At 36.5% G+C, this 19,244-nt stretch overlaps 1 protein-coding gene across 9 annotated transcripts in view; it reads left to right on the top strand.

Moving 5' to 3' along the window:
* Positions 1-19,244, top strand: part of ATR (ATR checkpoint kinase) — a 129,499-nt gene that overhangs the window by 69,153 nt on the left and 41,102 nt on the right. For 8 of the 9 annotated variants that reach the window (NM_001354579.2, XM_011512925.2, NM_001184.4 and 5 more), the window contains 8 exons: positions 1,472-1,650; positions 4,278-4,442; positions 6,128-6,219; positions 9,863-9,954; positions 10,807-10,984; positions 12,389-12,568; positions 13,061-13,220; positions 16,270-16,449. In NM_001354579.2, coding sequence (NP_001341508.1) covers positions 1,472-1,650; positions 4,278-4,442; positions 6,128-6,219; positions 9,863-9,954; positions 10,807-10,984; positions 12,389-12,568; positions 13,061-13,220; positions 16,270-16,449 — 1,226 coding nt within the window. Of the gene's footprint in view, positions 1-1,471; positions 1,651-4,277; positions 4,443-6,127; positions 6,220-9,862; positions 9,955-10,806; positions 10,985-12,388; positions 12,569-13,060; positions 13,221-16,269; positions 16,450-19,244 lie in introns of those variants that run through there. The other variant, XM_047448364.1, reaches the window with a different exon arrangement.

Genomic DNA, 19,244 nt, shown 5'->3' with positions numbered 1-19,244 from the left:
TGTCTCCAAAAAAAAAAAAAAAAAAAAAAAAAAAATCAGAATTTGAAATCATCTACAAATTTTGATGGAAATAAGGACCTTATTTTAAATATAATCTGTTTAGAATATACTACCTTAGGCTAGGTGTGGTAGCTCACACCTGTAATCCTAGCACTTTGGGAGGCCGAGGCAGGAGGATCACTTGAGCTCAGGAGTTCAAGATCAACCTGTGCAACATAATGAGACTTCATCTTTACAAAAAATACAAAACTTGGCCAGGCGTGGTGGCACATGCCTATGGTCCCAGCTACTCGGGAGGCTGAGGCAGGATCACTTAAGTCCAGGAGGTGAAGGCTGCAGTGAGCTATGATCTTGCCACTGCACTGCAGCCTCAGTGAGAATGAGATCAAAATAATTTTTTTTAAAAAGTAAGTAAATAAATAAAAATAAAATATACTGCCTTATTTAAATTTTGAAGAAATTTGTTGCCTGTTTTCTACACACTTATGAATCATTAAAATTTAGAAGTTTTAAATAATTCATAAACTAGACTGTCCTCATTTAGAAGTTTTTAATTTTTGTCTTTTTGTACACTCTTGAAAAATTATCCTAAAGTACTTGTGGTTTTACTTTGAAGGCACTTTTACTTTCAATTTCTTTCTTTTTTTTTTTTTTTTTGATACGGAGTCTCGCTCTGTCACCCAGGCTGGAGTGCAGTGGCGTGATCTCAGCTCACTGCAAGCTCCGCCTCCCAGGTTCACGCCATTCTCCTGCCTCAGCCCCCCGAGTAGCTGGGACTAAAGGCACCCGTCACCACGCCCGGCTAATTTTTTTGTATTTTTAGTAGAGACGGGGTTTCACCGTGTTAGCCGGGATGGTCTCGATCTCCTAACCTTGTGATCCGCCTGCCTCGGCCTCCCAAAGTGCTGGGATTACAGGCGTGAACCATCATGCCCAGCCATTACTTTCAATTTCTATTGTAATAGGTGATACTGTATTTTTGGCAACCAAGAAAAAATAGGTGGATAACAATGAATTCTAAACTTTAAAAAAGATTATTTCCATAGTTTTGAAGTTTCCCTACAAAATAGCTACATTTAATCATTTTTTATAGTCATCAAAAATAATGACTAATCTTGTATCTTTTGTATCATCATTATATCTTTTCAAAATTTAATAATAGATTGATATTTAATCCTCACCAACAACGTTGTAAGGAAGGCAAGACAGGTACTAACATTTTCCTTTTATAGGTAAAGAAATAGAGGCTCAGTAAATTAAATGACTGTCCAAAGAAAGGTAAGTTATAATGGCAGAGTTGGAGCAAGACTCTCTGAACAATTGTTCTGTTGTTAGTTACATTCTAAATATGATATCCTAATATATTCAGATTAATTTGTTTAGTGAAATAAATTGAACTTAAATACTTAAATTGACACTTTTAAATTTTATCTTATAAGTCTTTAATTACTCAACTTTTTTTATGATCTAGTATCTACTGTGGATTATGAAGACTATCAGAGTGTAACCCGTTTTCTAGACCTCATACCCCAGGATACTCTGGCAGTAGCTTCCTTTCGCTCCAAAGCATACACACGAGCTGTAATGCACTTTGAATCATTTATTACAGAAAAGAAGCAAAATATTCAGGAACATCTTGGATTTTTACAGGTCTGAAGTTAATATAGTGAATTTAATAATGAAAATTAATGTGGCCAGTCTTTTATGTTTATGTTGTTCATTTTATTGAATGTTTTATATGCTATGCTTAGAAGCTTATAGATTAGTGGGGAGAGATAAACATCAATTTGGTATAATATTTTAAGTACAGTAACACACATGTACCCTGAGGAAGGACACTTAACTCATCCATGTGGAATAGGGTGGGAGATGGAAGCGGATGAGCCAGAGGTCAGGAATGGCTTCTTGGAGATGGTGTCTTAAAAAATGAGCAGTATAGGGAGGCAAGACATTATAATCAGAGGCATCTCTGTGGAGTGTTTGAAAAGAGCATGGTATATGCCAAAGAGTAAAGTGTCGGTTTTGGAATGGTAGAGGAAAGATCACAAATAATAGAAGACTTTTTAAGTTGCCCAAACTTCTTGGAGGGTGCGAACTAGGGAAGTGTTATGGTCACAATGGAATTTTAGCTAAATGCCTGTGGCAGTTGTGGAGGAGGAGTTTGGAAGGGCTATGATTCAAGGAATTACTCTTCTCCTTGTGAGAGTTGTGGTCCTGAATTTGGGAGTGAGTTAGTGGGGGCAAGTGCCGGTTATGTCAGGTATCAAGCATGAAAATGCTGGTGAAATAATGATTTAGGCGATGTTATGATTGTGTAGGGAAGAAAAGAAAGTAAGAGCAGGTGAGGCGAATACAGTGGAATTAAATAAGAGCTCAAGATTGGTGGGCTTTTCAAATCAAAAAGCAAAGTGTGATAAAATAACTAGAAAATTAGTAACTTGCAGTCTTAAGATGAATATTAGCCCCTTCCTATCTTTGTGTTCCTCCTTGTCCAGCTTTAAGTCTATGGTTCATGGTTAAAATCGTTCCCTTAGAGTGATGCTCAACTTCTTGTCTTTTTCCCACTGTGTTGTACTCCGTTTGTCAAACTCCAACCATGTAAGCAGCTGGAGAAAAATTACACAGTGGGTGTTATAACTGGTTTCAGTTTAAGTTCATGATCTCAAACATCTTTAAAACTGCAGGACTCTAACATTACCTTCAGGCTGGCTGTGTTTCTCTAGTAAGGCTACTTTCCCCTTTGTCAAGATGACTGTCTCTTACCTTCACTTTGTTTCCCTGCTTCCAGCTGACAATCTTGCTTCATGATTCATTAGGAAAAATCTGCAAATGAAACAGCATCTGCACCATATTCTTTTTCTTCCCTTCTGTTATTTTATTTATTTATTTATTTTGAGATAGGGTCTTGCTCTATCACCTAGGCTGGAGTACAGTGGCACGAGCTCGGCTCACTGCAACCTCCACCTCCCAGGCTCAAGGGATCCTCACACCTCAGCCTCCCGAGCAGCTGGGACCACAGGCGCTGCTACCACACCTGGCTAATTTTTTGTATTTTTTGTAGAGACGGGGTTTTCCATGTTGCCTGGGCTGGCCTCCTGACCTCAAGTGATCTGCCTGCCTTGGCCTCTCAAAGTGCTGGGATTACAGGCATGAGCCACTGTGCCTGGCTTCTTCTGTTATTTTTAAGGAAGGATTTCTTCCTGTCAAAATTCAATCTTTCTACTTGTGTTCTCAATTTCAAGATGTAACTTCTTCATATATTCCTTCTTTCTCTAGTGTAATTAATTTCTCTTTGGGAACCAGAGTATATGGAGCATATAGACATGCTCTGGTAAATCCTACCTTCTCCTTTAGATACATCCCATCTCTCTGTTTCCGGAACTTCACAACCAGTTTTTGAAGGAATTGTCTAGTTTCTTTATACTGCAGTCACTTCTTTGTTTCTCATTCACTCTGCCCATTTCAACAAGACTTCTCTTTTTCTTTTCTGTTGACACTATTCTTGCTAAGAAAATTGGTGGCCACATGTTACCAAATCCAGTAAATTTTTCCCAGCCCTCATTTTCTTAACCTCAGTATCATTGACCATGCCTTTCTCATTAAGACATCATTTGCTTTTCTCCCATGGCTTCTGGGATATTTTATTCTCCAGTTTTCTTCCAAGTTATCTCACTTCTCCTGTTTCATTTGCCAGCTCTTCCTTCTTGATAAATGTAGAAACTCTAATCTCTATCGTCAGTCTGCTTTTCTTCTTTATCCATTTCCTAGATCATCCCATTCTTTCTCATGTTGTGAGAGACTGTCTTTGTGCTAACTGATTCCTAAATTTTTATCTTTAGCTTGAATATCTCCTTTGAGCCCAGATTGCTGTCTTGGTTTTCTTGAAGTCATCTCAATAACAATATATTAAAATGGTTATTTACATTTTTAAAAATTTAAAAATTCAATAAAACTCTTATAAGCTATACTCAACAGAATATGTTATCATTTGGATCTAGACAGTTTTAGGATCCTGAGGTTCTTTATAAACCTTATGATCAATAACAGCTATTGATATAGATTTGTATTTAAAAGGAGTAAGAATGTTGAGGGAATAGAATGCCTGGAAATAAGTTTATAATTTTACTGTGACTTTGCCATGAAACAAATGCTTACTATTACTTTGAGGAAAAATTTCTCAAAAAATTGCTGTTTCAATATAAACAGGTGGTTTTATAGTTTTATTTCCAGTTGTGTTTTTTTCTTGTTTTTGATTGTTTTTTAATCATTGAACAAAGAAATTGTATGCTGCTATGCATGAACCTGATGGAGTGGCCGGAGTCAGTGCAATTAGAAAGGCAGAACCATCTCTAAAAGAACAGATCCTTGAACATGAAAGCCTTGGCTTGCTGAGGGATGCCACTGCTTGTTATGACAGGGCTATTCAGCTAGAACCAGACCAGGTAAGATAATAATTGAAAGGCAACTGTAATGAAAATAGCCCTGAATAGGAACTCTGGAAACCTTAGTTTTTTTTGTTTTGTTTTGTTTTGTTTTTGAGACAGAGTCTCGCTCTGTTGGCCAGGCTGGAGTGCAGTGGCATGATCTTGGCTCACTGCAACCTCTGTCTCCCGGGCTCAAGCAATTCTGCCTCAGCCTCCCGAGTAGCTGGGATTACAGGCGTGTGCCACCACACCACATCCAGCCGAAACCTTAGTTTTAATACTGTTTCTGTCAGTGTCACTGAGTGTCTGGAAAATATTTAACCCTCTCTAAGCTTGAGTTTCCTAACAGATAAAATTAGAGACTTTACTAGATGATTTTAAAAATTCCTTCCAGGCCGGATGCGGCGGCTCATGCCTGTAATCCCAGCACTTTGGGAGACCAAGACGGGTGGATTCCCCGAGGTCAGGAGTTCGAGACTAGCCTGGCCAACATAGTGAAACCCTGTCTCTACCAAAAATACAAAAAATTAGCTGGGTGTGGTGGCGAGCGCCTGTAATCCCAGCTACTTGGGAGGCTGAGGCAAGAGAATTGCTTGAACCCGGGAGGTGGAGGTTGCAGTGAGCCAAGATCATACCATTGCACTCCAGCCTGGGCAACATGAGTGAAACTCTATCTCAAAAAAAAAAAAGGTCCCTTCCAATACTATATTTATATGACTTTAGAAATCCCCTAAATGAATAAGATTTATTATGGAGTATATCTGTATTAAAATGTTCATTTAATAACTCTAAAATGTATATAATTTTAGTTTGCTATTAAAAGTGTAAGCCATGGATCAGTTTGTAGAACTAGGGATTCTCCATAGCCTGAGAAACATTTTCATATTTTATACACCTACTCACCCACCTGCACGTCTCTAAAATGGTCCTGTAGAATCACAGAGTTACAGTTAGTAATGGGAATAAGCTGTGTGTCTATTGGAATGGGAAAGGGGTTTAGAATCATTAATTTACAATCTTGCCTTTAGATTCTTTCTAATTTTGGGATATTGCTTTTTGTCATATTTGACATGTTTCTCAGAAGCACAATATATAAATTCTTTATTTTTCACAATCTTCTTTTCATTTTAAAGGATAGTACATAATCCTCTTTAACTTTTTAGTGCTAAAGCCCGAAATCCATATTTAAAACATCAGGACCTTTGAGCTTGAATGTTTATGTGAGAAATATGACAATCTTTAAACAGAATATCAAAGATATTAGATACTTTTTATATTGGATGTGAACCAAAAAGTAGTCCAAATTGAAAAATATAATAACTTCAATCTGAGATTTTCTATGTTGTCTACATTTATTTATGTTACTTTAAATGTGTTAGGACATTGATGGGGGTCCTGCCATGTAAGTAAGCAAATCAATTGTTAAATTAAGAAAGGTGTGACTGGGCATGGTGGCTCATGCCTGTAATCCCAGCACTTTGGGAGGCTGAGGCAGGAGGATCACTTGAGCCCAGGAGTTTGAGACCAGCCTGGGCAACATGGCAAGACCCTGTCTCTACAAAAAATTAAAATAATAATAATAATAAAAAAATAAGGGCAATAAGGTAAATAGTAATTTTTAAAGAATATCAGTTAAACTGTTTTTGGTCCCCAAGCTATTATTGAAGTGATAATTGCTATTTTAAATATTTTTAAATTTCTAGATCATTCATTATCATGGTGTAGTAAAGTCCATGTTAGGTCTTGGTCAGCTGTCTACTGTTATCACTCAGGTGAATGGAGTGCATGCTAACAGGTAATATTTTATAAAATGATTTTCTTTTGTTATTGCATCTGAATGGAGAATTTTTAGTTAGTGAATTGGGTAATTTAATGTTTAGTAGAGTAATAAATGTTTTATGTGTTTTCATGGTATTGGAGATAAGCACCAACATTTTTTTTTCCTCAAGTTTTTCATAGTCAGTCTACCACTTAACAGCTTCTGTCTAAAGAGCCATCCTTGAATTAGATTTGCTTTAACACAAGGAACTTCTAGAACCCACTGGCTATTGGTGAGGCTCAGATGGGACTTCCTGGGCCTCAAAGGGCATCTATGCTCTGCTTACAGTATCAGTACCACTTATTTTCCGTGCTAGAGGTTGTGACTGATTTACGGAATACCACTGTAGACTGTGTGCATTGATTTTACCCTAAATGATTGATGAATGTGAAAGCAGCCTTCCTTTCCTAAAGAAGGTGGGTTTATTGTAGAAAATCAAATTAAACAAAAAATAATACATGTATGTGGCAAAACATTAAGGCTGAGTAGTTCTTCCAGTTTGGAGATTAAATGTGGAGATTAGCACTGCTCTTGAAGCTGCTTTGCTGTGAGAGCTGACAGCTGTATTCCTTGATTTATTCACCAGACTCTAAATGGCTATTCTGGGCAGTAAAATCTGGTCAAAAGGGAATGGGATCTCAGTTAAACAAAGATTATACAGGCCACTGTTTTTGGACTACTCTGAAGCCAAGTTTTTCTTTCTCTTTTTTTTCAACTTTTATTTTAGATTCTGAGGGTACATGTGCAAGTTAGTGACAAGGGCATATTACGTGATACTGAGGTTTAGGATACAATTGAACCCATCACCCAGGTAGTGAGCATAGTACCCAAAAGATAGTTTTTCAACTCTTGCCTCCCTCCCTCCCCCACCCCTTGTAGTCTGCAGTGTCTATTGTTCCCATTTTTGTGTCCATGTGTACCCAATGTTTAGCTCCCATTTTATTCTTTTTTATAGCTGCATAGTATTCCATTGTGTATATGTGCCACATTTTCTTTATCCCATCTACCATTGATGGGCACTTAGGTTGATTTCATGTCTTTGCTATTATGAATAGTGCTGCAATGAACATACGAGTGTATGTATCTTTTTGGTAGAATGGATTATTTTCCTTTGGGAATATACCCAGTAATGGGATTGCTGTGTGTTCTATTTTCAGTTCTTTGGGAAATCTCTAAACCGCCTTCCACAGTGGCTGAACTAATTTATATTCCCACCAACAGTGTATAAGTATTCTCTTTTCTCTGCAGCCCCTTCTACATCTTTTTTGACTTTTTAATAATAGCCATTCTGGGCTGGGTGTGGTGGCTCATGCCTGTAATTGCAGCACTCTGGGAGGCCAAGGCGGGTGTATCATTTGAGGCCAGTAGTTCAAGACCAGCCTGGCCAACATGGTAAAACCCCATCTCTACTAAAATAATACAAAAATTAGCTGGGCGTGATGGTGCACATCTGTAATCCCAGCTACTCGGGAGACTGAGGCAGGAGAATTGCTTGAACCTGGGAGATGGAGGTTGCAGTGAGCTGAGATTGCACCACTGCACTCCAGCCTGGGCAGCAGAGGGAGACTTTGTCTCAAAATAATAATAATAATAGTAGCCATTCTGATTAGTGTGAGGTGGTATCTCATTGTGGCTTTGATTTTCATTTCTCAAATAATTGTGACGACGAGCATGTTTTCATATGCTTGTTGGCTGCTTGTATGTCTTCTTTTGAGAAGTGTCTGCTCATGTCCTTTGCCTACTTTTTAATGGGGTTGTTTGTTTTTTTGCTTGTTGATTTATTTGAGCTTTTTATAGATTCTGAAGCCAGCCTTTTCTAAGTACTGTTTGTATAGGTTCCAAAACTGTGATTCATAAAGACTATCATTTTACAATGTCTAAGGGCAGAGAAGTTCACTGTTGGTCAGATGGTATCACAGTAGTGGAATTTATGAAATCACAAGGGAAGTTTTACAGAAGTAAAGAAGGAATGCTTATATGTTGTGGATATGTTTCTCCAGATTAGTTGAGAGACTTTATGAATAAATAGATTACAGGGATTTGGGAGAGTCATGGCTCAAATTGGGGTGTCAAATTTCTTTTTGACATAGACTACACATTCAGACTCCTCTTTTCTTCTCTTTGGGTCTGGGATACATAGAGCCTCCTGATTTGGGTTGTGAAAAAGGCATGCGTCAATATTCAATGAAGGGGTGCTGTGTCATGGTGAAGCAAATGATTATGGATGGGGCATGTTTTTCTTGGGGTAATTTCTGTTTGCATTAAACAAATATTTTTCCTAAAATATTGACTGTGCCTGCCCTATTTATCATTCTTTTTAATGTACCCATTTATGTGGATACATTCTCACAGCCTGATCCTGATTGCCATTTGTACTTTTTGCTATAAGTCTTCGTGTGACACATCCCCTTTGTTATCTGATATCCCATAGATAATCTGTTATCCCACAGTTGGATAACAAATACTGCCTAATTCTACTGAGATTTTTATCCTGAAATTTTTATATTTTGGTGTCTGATGGTAAGCTTGTAAAGTCCTTCAAAATTGGACTTTTGAAAATTACATTTCAGTTGTATTTCTTTAGCCTTATTCTAAACTGTTTTTGGTGGTGGTCATAAATTTAGAAATTGGAATCCTCTAGCTTCTATTTTTAGAATTTTTAAAAATGAAACTTGTTAGATCACTTGTTGTCTTTTCTTTATGTGTTTTTACTACAATAAAAAGAGCAAGGAAAACTTTTGAGGATATTGATTCCAGCCTCTCTGTTACTTTATTTATAATATGGATATATATGTGCTGTATGCAGTGTTATTAGATTATTAAATGGAAAATTGTACCTAGCCTAGGATCTAAACATATGGCAGAAATTCAGAAAGTATGATTAATAAAAAAGAAACATGAGGAAAGCCTAGCGGTTTCTGTGTAGTCATGATCTCAAATATCACTGGTCATCCTAATGTCACCTAAGTAGAATGCTTAGAACAAAATAATTAGCCTATATCATACTGGTTTTGCAAACTCAAATTTTAAACTAACTGAAAGTAGTTTAAAAATAGGTATATATTTTACGTAGCTAGTTTTATATACTTTGTTATGCCATTGACAAATCATTGTAACTTTCTTTTGCTCTTGGTATTGTTCTAGATACCTCCCAACTGTCCGTAAGTTATACCACTGGCCCCCCTGTATTTTTGTCTTAAATTTAATTCAGAATTCTGAGTTATTGGAATTGCTTACCTCTGAATTTATGTGTGTTCAGTTGGCTCTTTTTCTTCCTTGCTCTTTGTTCAAATTAAGCATGCAGCTATTTTTACAATGGGCTTAGTTATTATTCAGGAATTAACTCTGCTCTAATATATGGCACACTTTAATTTGTTGAAGAATGTCATTTTAAATGGTGTATCAGAAGTAATTAGTGAAAAAATATTTTTGAAGGATGGAAAGATTAAAATTTTCTGGATAGTTTCTGGATAGAGATAATTATTTTATATCTAAGAACAAAATACAATATAATGCAAATTCAATAAATATAATAAATAGAGTATGTAAACCAATGAAAAATCTCTGAATGTCACCTTAAATAAATTAAAGTTTAGTTGATATGGGTTTCTTTTAATAGGTCCGAGTGGACAGATGAATTAAACACGTACAGAGTGGAAGCAGCTTGGAAATTGTCACAGTGGGATTTGGTGGAAAACTATTTGGCAGCAGGTAAAATTACTTCTTAAAATATAAGCAGTTTTAGGATGGGTGCGGTGGCTCACGCCTGTAATCCCAGCACTTTGGGCGGCTGAGGCGGGCGGATCATGAGGTCAGGAGATCGAGACCATCCTGGCTAACACAGTGAAACCCCGTCTCTACTAAAAATACAAAAAATTAGCTGGGCGTGGTGGCACGCGCCTGTAGTCCCAACTACTCGGGAGGCTGAGGCAGGAGAATTGCTTGAACCTGGGAGTTGGAGGTTGCAGTGAGCTGAGATCGCGCCACTGCACTCCAGCCTGGGTGACAGAGTGAGACTCCATCTCAAAGAAAAAAAAAAAAAGCGGTTTTAATATGACATAAATATTCAGACTTAAGTAACTTAGCAACATTCATACTTAATATCTTAGCCTGTTTTATGATTGCCTTGTTTAGTTGTTCAAAGTAGAATGAAACCAGGCTGGGCATGGTGGCTCACACCTGTAATCTCAGTGTTTTGGGAGGCCAAGGTGGGAGGATTGCTTGAAGCCAAGAGCTCTAGACCAGTCTGGGCAAAATACTGAGACTGTCTCTGCAAAAATGTTTTTTAAAAAACTTAGCTGGGCATGGTGGCTCATGCCTGTTCACCTACTCAGGAGACTGAGGTGGGAGGATCACTGGAGCCCAGAAGTTCAAGGCTGCAGTGAGCTATAATCATGCCATAGCCCTCTATCCTGGACCACAGAGTGAGACTCTGTCTCAAAAAAAAAAAAAGGAATGAAGCCACCTGTTTGATATTTCAGCTGACCATTTTATCTAATGAAATAAAGCTGACTCTTGGACCCAGCTACCGTGACATTTCTTGACTCTTCATTTGTTTTTCAGATGGAAAATCTACAACATGGAGTGTCAGACTGGGACAGCTATTATTATCAGCCAAAAAAAGAGATATCACAGCTTTTTATGACTCACTGAAACTAGTGAGAGCAGAACAAATTGTACCTCTTTCAGCTGCAAGCTTTGAAAGAGGCTCCTACCAACGAGGATATGAATATATTGTGAGGTATTTTGGAATTTCCATTTTTATATTTCTGGCCTATAAATGTCACCTGACAGGATTGGAAAATTTTTTTGAGTAAATAATTGATAGTGAGTTTGGTTTCATGCATAGCTACACTAGACAGCTCTTTCATTCTTTTTACCTCACAATCACCCTACAGTTAAAATTCTAACATACATCCTTTTAAGGAAAGGCAACTATGAGACTAATGAAAAACATAATAAAAATATCTTATGTTTGTCCTCTTGTAATGTCATAGTTTGCTTTCTATATAACCAAATATAATATAGACATCTATAGCACCTGGCACATTGGTGCTTGGTATTTGTTGTTTCCCTTTCCTTTTCATTTAGAAATGTGTTTGATATTTCCCCCCAAAAATATAGGCATCACATTACTAGAAAGAATATTAACTTTTATAGGTGAAGAAGAAAATGTTGGAAAACATTTTAGGTCTATGAATTCTACCTGAGGAAAAATGATAAACTAAATATTGTAATTAAGGTATAAGAAATTTACTACATAGCACTGTTTTTTTAAGTTAGAAGAATTCATTATATTTAGTATCAACCCGTTTGGTGATATCTTAATGAAACTAGAGATTGGACCACTGAGTTTAATTCTGTTCTGTAGCTACTCAGCTATATCCTTGTACCTTGAACACTGAATCATAGACACTGACTATCATACAAGGGGGAAAAAGCTAGTGTGAATGTATCAAAGTTTCCATCACTCTTAGAAAAAAACTACATTAATTTCATAATTTTTTACTATCATCTGCTATGCCAGGCCCTCTTATAGTAGCACCAGCAATATATGCAAATACCTCATGTTGGTTTATAATGGATCCATATTTTCTTTTATCTTCATTTAGGTGGTAAATTTTGGTTTCATACATTTGAATTTAGTTTTATCCATCATTCTCCAGTTTAATTAGGAATTTGGGATTCACTGCAAATCCCTAAATATTTATTTTAAAAGTTTAATGTAATTAATTTTATTTATTTATTTATTTATTTATTTATTATTTTAAGGGACGGGGTCTTGCTATGTCACCTGAGCTGGAGTGCAGTGGCTATTCACAGGCATAATCATAGCTCACTGCAACCTTGAACTCCTGAGTTCAAGTGATCCACCTGCCTCAGTCTCCTGAGTAGCTGGAGTACAGGTGCACGCTACCATGCCTGGCTAAAGCACCAAATGTATAAACCAGCATAAATTGGTGTTTACATTCAGTTTGAAAAGATATAAATGTAATTATTTACTTAGCAAGGATATATTAAAGTTCTACCAAAGACAACTGTGTATTTTAAATTCTTTATTTCTGATTTAAAGTACTTGCTTTATATATGAGATTAATAAGGCTGAATATGATAACATTTTAACATAGGCTCTATCTATCTTCAGATTGCACATGTTATGTGAGTTGGAGCATAGCATCAAACCACTTTTCCAGCATTCTCCAGGTGACAGTTCTCAAGAAGATTCTCTAAACTGGGTAGCTCGACTAGAAATGACCCAGAATTCCTACAGAGCCAAGGAGCCTATCCTGGCTCTCCGGAGGGCTTTACTAAGCCTCAACAAAAGGTTTCTCACACTACTTTTTTTAAAAATGTCACTTATCTTGAATTTGGTATTTGGATATTATTTGGGGGTGTTTGTATTTCTTAATTTTCTGTCTGAATCTACATTTTTCTATTTTTAATGATCAGGGCTACACTATCTGGTTGAAAGGAACCTAGAACTTAAGAATCACTTTTAGACACCATTTCTTTCTCTTTTTTAAGATGTTAAAAACATATCTGGGGGATATGTTTTTTACTGATAAAAATCAAGAATAAGGTTCATAATAGGTAAAACAGAACACTGTAAGAAAAGTTAAGTCAAGGCTTTTTAAACAAATTAATAATTAATTCCTTTGAAATAGTATATGAAGAAGGTTCTGTATTGGGAACAGAGGCTTTCAAAACATTGGAACTACTTGCAAAGTTTATGACCTAGATTTAAATTGTTTTAAGTTAAGTTGTTGTGTACACTTACCAATGGTCTCTCTCACCAATGTGTTGTTACTTCCTTTAGACCAGATTACAATGAAATGGTTGGAGAATGCTGGCTGCAGAGTGCCAGGGTAGCTAGAAAGGCTGGTCACCACCAGACAGCCTACAATGCTCTCCTTAATGCAGGGGAATCACGACTCGCTGAACTGTACGTGGAAAGGGCAAAGTGGCTCTGGTCCAAGGTAATGGCCAGGGAAATGTCATCATATATATATATATATATATATATATATATATATATATATATATATATATATATATATAGTCGGGAATTATGTACTTCCTTAAAAGGCCAACTGAGAGAACATAACTAATCCAAATTAAGAACCTTCCTTTTCTATCACTTTTCTTCATTAGTTATCTACCATAGCCTGGAAGTAATTGTTCTTTTTACTCTACAGTCCCCAGATACCTTCCCATTTCAAGGCTGAATGTGGAGTTTTTTCAGTTTTCATCTATCTTACATTTTCCTTGAGGAAAACGACCTCTTAATTTTTCACCTTATGTATGTATACAGGGTGTATATAGTAGTGACCCAGTAAATGTTGGTTAAATGAATGTAACTCTGTCACTTAGTTGCTGGCAGATAATTAGCTCTCTGTAGACTTGCCAGTGTTACTGTAAATATTCAGCTCTGATCTAGCCAGAAAGGGCCTAGCATCTGAACAGAAGTTCACGGCAGACCTCAGATTAAAGCCAAAGTAATAAGAAGGGGGTTTTTTAAACATTGGAACTACTTGCAAGGTTTATGACCCAGATTTATTTTTTATTTTTATTTATTTATTTATTTATTTATTTTGAACCGGAGTCTCACTCTGTTGCCCAGGCTGGAGTGCAGTGGCACGATCTCCGCTCACTACAACCTCTGCCTCCCGAGTTCAAGTGATTCTCCTGCCTCAGCCTCCTGAGTAGCTGGGACTACGGGTGTGTGCCACCACACCTGGCTAATTTTTTGTATTTTTAGTAGAGATGGGGTTTCACCGTGTTAGCCAGGGTGGTCTCGATCTCCTGACCTCATGATCCACCTGCCTCAGCCACCCAAAGTGCTGGGATTACAGGCGTGAGCCACCGCGCCTGGCCAATAACCCAGATTTAATGGCTATTACTTAAATTTCTCCTCAGGCTAGTCACCAGTTTAGAATTAGTAATAGGCATTACTAATAATAATAGCATGTTCTGGAATTGATACTTAGCAACTATTGTTGGTGCCATTTGTGGTTACACCAACTTGTGGTGGCTGAGAAAGGACAGGAGAGGTTTCCTGGATGAGAGGGGAAAGCAATTTATTCAGTGTGCATTAGTCAGTACCTGGTCATTTTATTGAGCTAGTGGTAGTCTATGTATTATAATACCTTAAACTCAAAATGTTCAAAATGCAATTTATTACCTAATACTCAATATCTGTTTCTCCTCTCATGTTTCCTACTTCTCTGAACAAGACTTTATTCCATCCTTCCATCAAAAACAGAAATCTGGACATCATCTTAAATTCCTTCTGCAACCTCACTTTTCACATCCAGCTGGAGACTAAATCTTTGTTCTTCAACCTTAGAAATATCTCTTGAATCCTCTCCCTCTTATTTATTTCCACTGCTTTAACTTATGACTTTATTATTTACTTCCTCTAACAATATTAACAACCATTTTAGGATCTCACCATTTCCCTGTATACGTTATTGCAGTTTGTGATCTTTCTAAAATCCACATCGAATCATGTTGCTCCTTCAAAAAGATTAAATCTTACAAAGTATTCTTCATACCTTTAGGATTAAGCCTAACTCTAGGAACTACACAAATCCCTTTCTGATCAAGTCCTGGCCTACTTCCTCAGTGTCATTCATCACCATCTCAAAAACCCTTTAAACTTCAGCTAAAATCAGACTATGTGCTTTTCTTCCAATTAAAATTATTATTCCATCTACCTAGAATGCCTTTCACTAAATTCTCTGCCAAGAAGATTTCTACTCATTCTTGAAAACCTAATTCAAATTTTCTTCGTTGATAACTTTTCCTGACTGTAGTTCTCCTCCATTTTCCTATATTCTTCAGGTAGGTTTAAGGGACTCTCTTCTCTATCCTGTATAATGCTGATGTATATTCCTCTGTTGTAACACTTAGCAAATATGCTTTTATTTCACATAGTTTCTTTTCTCATGTGACTATGAACTTTTTTTATGTCAGGGATTTTAATTTGTTTGTGATTGTCTTCAATTCCCTGAACTTTGATTATAGTCCTTTCTTGATATCCATGGAGGGATTGGTCCCAGGATTCTCTATGGATAACAAAATCTGTGGATACTCAAGTCCTTTATATAAAGTGGCATACACAGTATTTGCATATAACCTGCGGACATCCTCTTGTATACTTCTCTAGGCTACTTATAATACCTAATACAGTGCAAATGCTTTGTAAACAGTTGTTATACTTGTATTGCTTATTCATATTATTTTTAATTTTTTCTTTGTAATATTTCTTTTTTTTTTTAATTTAAATTTTTATGTTTTGAGAGAGACAGAGTCTTGCTCTGTTGCCCAGGCTGGAGTGCAGTGGCATGATCATAGCTCACTGATGCCTTGGACTCCTGCTCTCAAGCAATCCTCCCACCTCACCCTGAACTTTGTATCAAAGGCTATAAGCATAAGCCATCATGCCTAGCTTTCTTTTTTTTTTTTTAAGAGAGAGGATCTTGCTCTGTCACCCAGGCTGGAGAGCAGTGGTGTGTCATAGCTCACTGTAACTGCGAATTCCTGGGCTCAAGCGATCCTTCCCCCTCAGCCTCCCGAGTAGCTGGAATTATAGGCATGAGCCACTACACCTGGGTAATTTTTAAATTTTTTGTAGAGACAGGATCTTGCTATGTTGCCCAGGCTAGTATCAAACTCCTGGCCCCAAGCAGTCCCCCTGCCTTGGCATCCAAAAGCACTGGAATTGCAGAGATGAGCCACTGTGCCCAGCCATTCCTAATATTTTCTATCCACTGTTGGTTGAATCCATTGATGTGGAACCTGTGGCTACAGAGAGCCAACTGCAGTTATAAAATTAATTAGTAAATGAATGAATGAGATGAAGCAATGTTTCAGTTTTAGAATTTTACTTTAATAAGAGGCAAGTAAAAGATAAACATGAAATTACAAATGGATTTGTACAAAAACATAATGAACTAATACTTTTGCAGAAAATAGAAGTATGTTTTTAAATTAAAAGGCTTATTGTTGCCTTTTTTCTTTTAGGGTGATGTTCACCAGGCACTAATTGTTCTTCAAAAAGGTGTTGAATTATGTTTTCCTGAAAATGAAACCCCACCTGAGGGTAAGAACATGTTAATCCATGGTCGAGCTATGCTACTAGTGGGCCGATTTATGGAAGAAACAGCTAACTTTGAAAGCAATGCAATTATGAAAAAATATAAGGCAAGTATATGTATAATGCAGTTTCAGTTAACTCTGTTGACTACGTAAAATGACTTAAGTCTATATGGCAAAGCACATGTATAAAAATAACCAGGAAATTTTTTTGACTTTTCAGTGAGTATATAAGTATATGGATTATCACAAAATAAATATACTCATGAAACTGCCACCACATCAAGAAATAGAATATTATTTGAGCTCTATAACCCCACTACCCTTCATCCCAGTAATCACTATTCTCACCCTCTGTCTCAAAGTTAACTACATCCTAGCCTGAAAATTTTTCAGCAAAACCAATTTATAACTTCTTTACTAGGTATTAAACTTTATATAGATGGTGTTGTAAGAGATATACCTCTCAATAATCCATGGGTCAATGAAAACTTTCAATGGAAATTGAAAAGTACTTTGAACTGAATGATAATAAAAATGGCATATCATATCCTGTGCAGCTAAAGCCATTCTTAAAAGGGATTTAAATTTTTATTTGCATATATTCGAAGAAAATAAAGGTTCAAAATTAACGAGTTAAGTATCTATCCCAAAGAGTTAGAAAAGGAACTAAAAAAGTAGGGAGAGAAATAAAAAAGTAGAAGAAAGGAAATAATAAAGCAAAGAGCAGGTGGCTAGAATTTGTGGGACAGATTAACTGAGAGAAAAAAGTTAAACAGAGTAGTTCCTATCTGCATAGGAATTGTGTTCGCTGAATACCAGCCTGCACATGAATAATTCAGAATTCTATGAGGCCAAGCTAGGAATAACTGCTGGGGAAAGAATAAACATGCAGAGGCTATAAGAACAATTTCCAGAGCTCACACGGGATTGAGATTCATTCAGATTACAGGATTGAGAGTTATTCAGTCCACCAGCCAGATTAAGAGGCCTCATTGCATAATATGGAGCATTCAGTAAAGACCTTAAAAGGGCCACACCTTAGAAGTAGGACTAAATTAGTCCTAGGCTAAAAACTACTCTATATCCATACTAGAAGGGCAGTAAAACAAGCTTTAAGATGATTACACTGATCTTCAAGTAACCTTACTGCCTGCCAGATCAAAGCCTAACACTCTTTAAAGCAAGACAACAAAATCTAAAACTTGACAATGTAAAAATATATCCAGCATCCATTAAAAAATTACTCTGTGAATGAAGAAGCAGGAATATTTGAGCCACAGATAGGAAAAAAAATAAATCAGTAGAAATAGTTCTAGAAATGACAGGATTTAAAAACAGCTATTGTATATAGGCTCCATAAGTTTAAGAACATAAACAAAAATAAGAGCATGATGAGAAGAGAGAGAAATCAAAGATACAAGAAAGACCTAAATGGGACCAACAGCCAAAGCAAATGGCACAGACAGTGCTAATCTTTAGATCCAGGAAGTGTTGCATTCTGATGAAGATAAATAGGAGTCCAGCTCCTGTTCCTTGGTTACAAGAAGATGTCATGCCACCTAAGAAACTAACCTTGATTTGCATTAAAAACTATATTATCCTAAAGGGCAGTGATAATGAGGCAAGTTCTGAAACCATACTTGTAAGTTTCACCTTCCCAGTTAGAGAGATCTTCTGAATTTATTCTAGTATGTAAGACACAACAACTTATGAGGCACACAAAAACTCACCAGTACTTAACAGCAGAATTTGATAGCAAATATTCCAGTTCTCCCATCTCTGCCTGGGTACTAAAGCCAGGGTTAGGGAAGAGAGATGTTGTCAGACTACCAACTTTTCAGGTTCTGTTTCTTCTGCATACACCCCTAATTTCCTGTCATAAAGGCCTCAGTAGCTGCTTCTCTTGTTCTGGTTGCCTATACATGATGTAGACAGAAATGAGTAGAGAAAAGAATAGAGGCTGACTACTGTAGAATGACATGCAGATCCAAGGGGCCACATATTGCATGATTCCACTTACATGAAATGGCCAGAATAAGCAAATCCATAGAGACAGAAGGTAGATTAATGGGTACTAGAGACTGAGGTTGGGGCTGGGAAGTGACTGCTAATTGGTACAATTTTTTTTTTGGAGTGATGAAAATGTTCTGGAATTAAATAGTGGTGATGGTTACACAACTCTGTAAATATACTAACAACAACTTTAAAAGTGTGAACTTTATAATATATTAATTATATCCCAATAGAGCTGTCATTTTAAAATATTACCCAAATGGCAATCTTTAAATAAAAAAAGAAGTAAAAGATACAAGGACTAGGAAAAAAATATAGGAAAGTTATTAATTGCAGATGATATGAATACATATGTAGAAAATTCAAAAGATTATAAACTATTCAAAATATTGAGTGAATTAAACAAGATTGCCTGATGATTTTATTTCTATATGACAACAAGAAAGGAATTTAAAACATACCATTTACAAGCAGAAAGTACTTGAACAGTTGGATATCTGTATGAGGAAAAAAATGATCTTCAACCTCTGCCTCATATGATAGACAAAATTGCTTCAAAAAAGTAGATTATAGATCTAAACTGAAAAGCTAAAATTATGAATTTTTAGATGAAAAAATAGAAGAAAATCTTTACAACCTTAGGGTAGGCAAAGGTTTTCTTAGGTCACACAAAGCATTAAGCATTTAAAAAATCCTGATAAATTAGATGTTCATCAAAGTTAAAACCTTTTCTAAGAAAGACAGTTAAGAAAATGAAAAGGTAAGCCATAGACTTGGAGAAAATACTTGTAATACATATATGACAGAGGATTTGTAGCTAAATTATAGAGAACCCTACAACTTAGTAAGACAATTTAAAGATCTGTGAGGCTAGGCACAGTGGCTCA

The sequence above is a fragment of the Homo sapiens genome, chromosome 3 (assembly GCF_000001405.40).
Source record: "Homo sapiens chromosome 3, GRCh38.p14 Primary Assembly".
Taxonomy (NCBI): Eukaryota; Metazoa; Chordata; class Mammalia; order Primates; family Hominidae; genus Homo; species Homo sapiens.
Note: the sequence above shows the minus strand (reverse complement) of the source record. Positions and strands in the feature narration are given on the sequence as shown.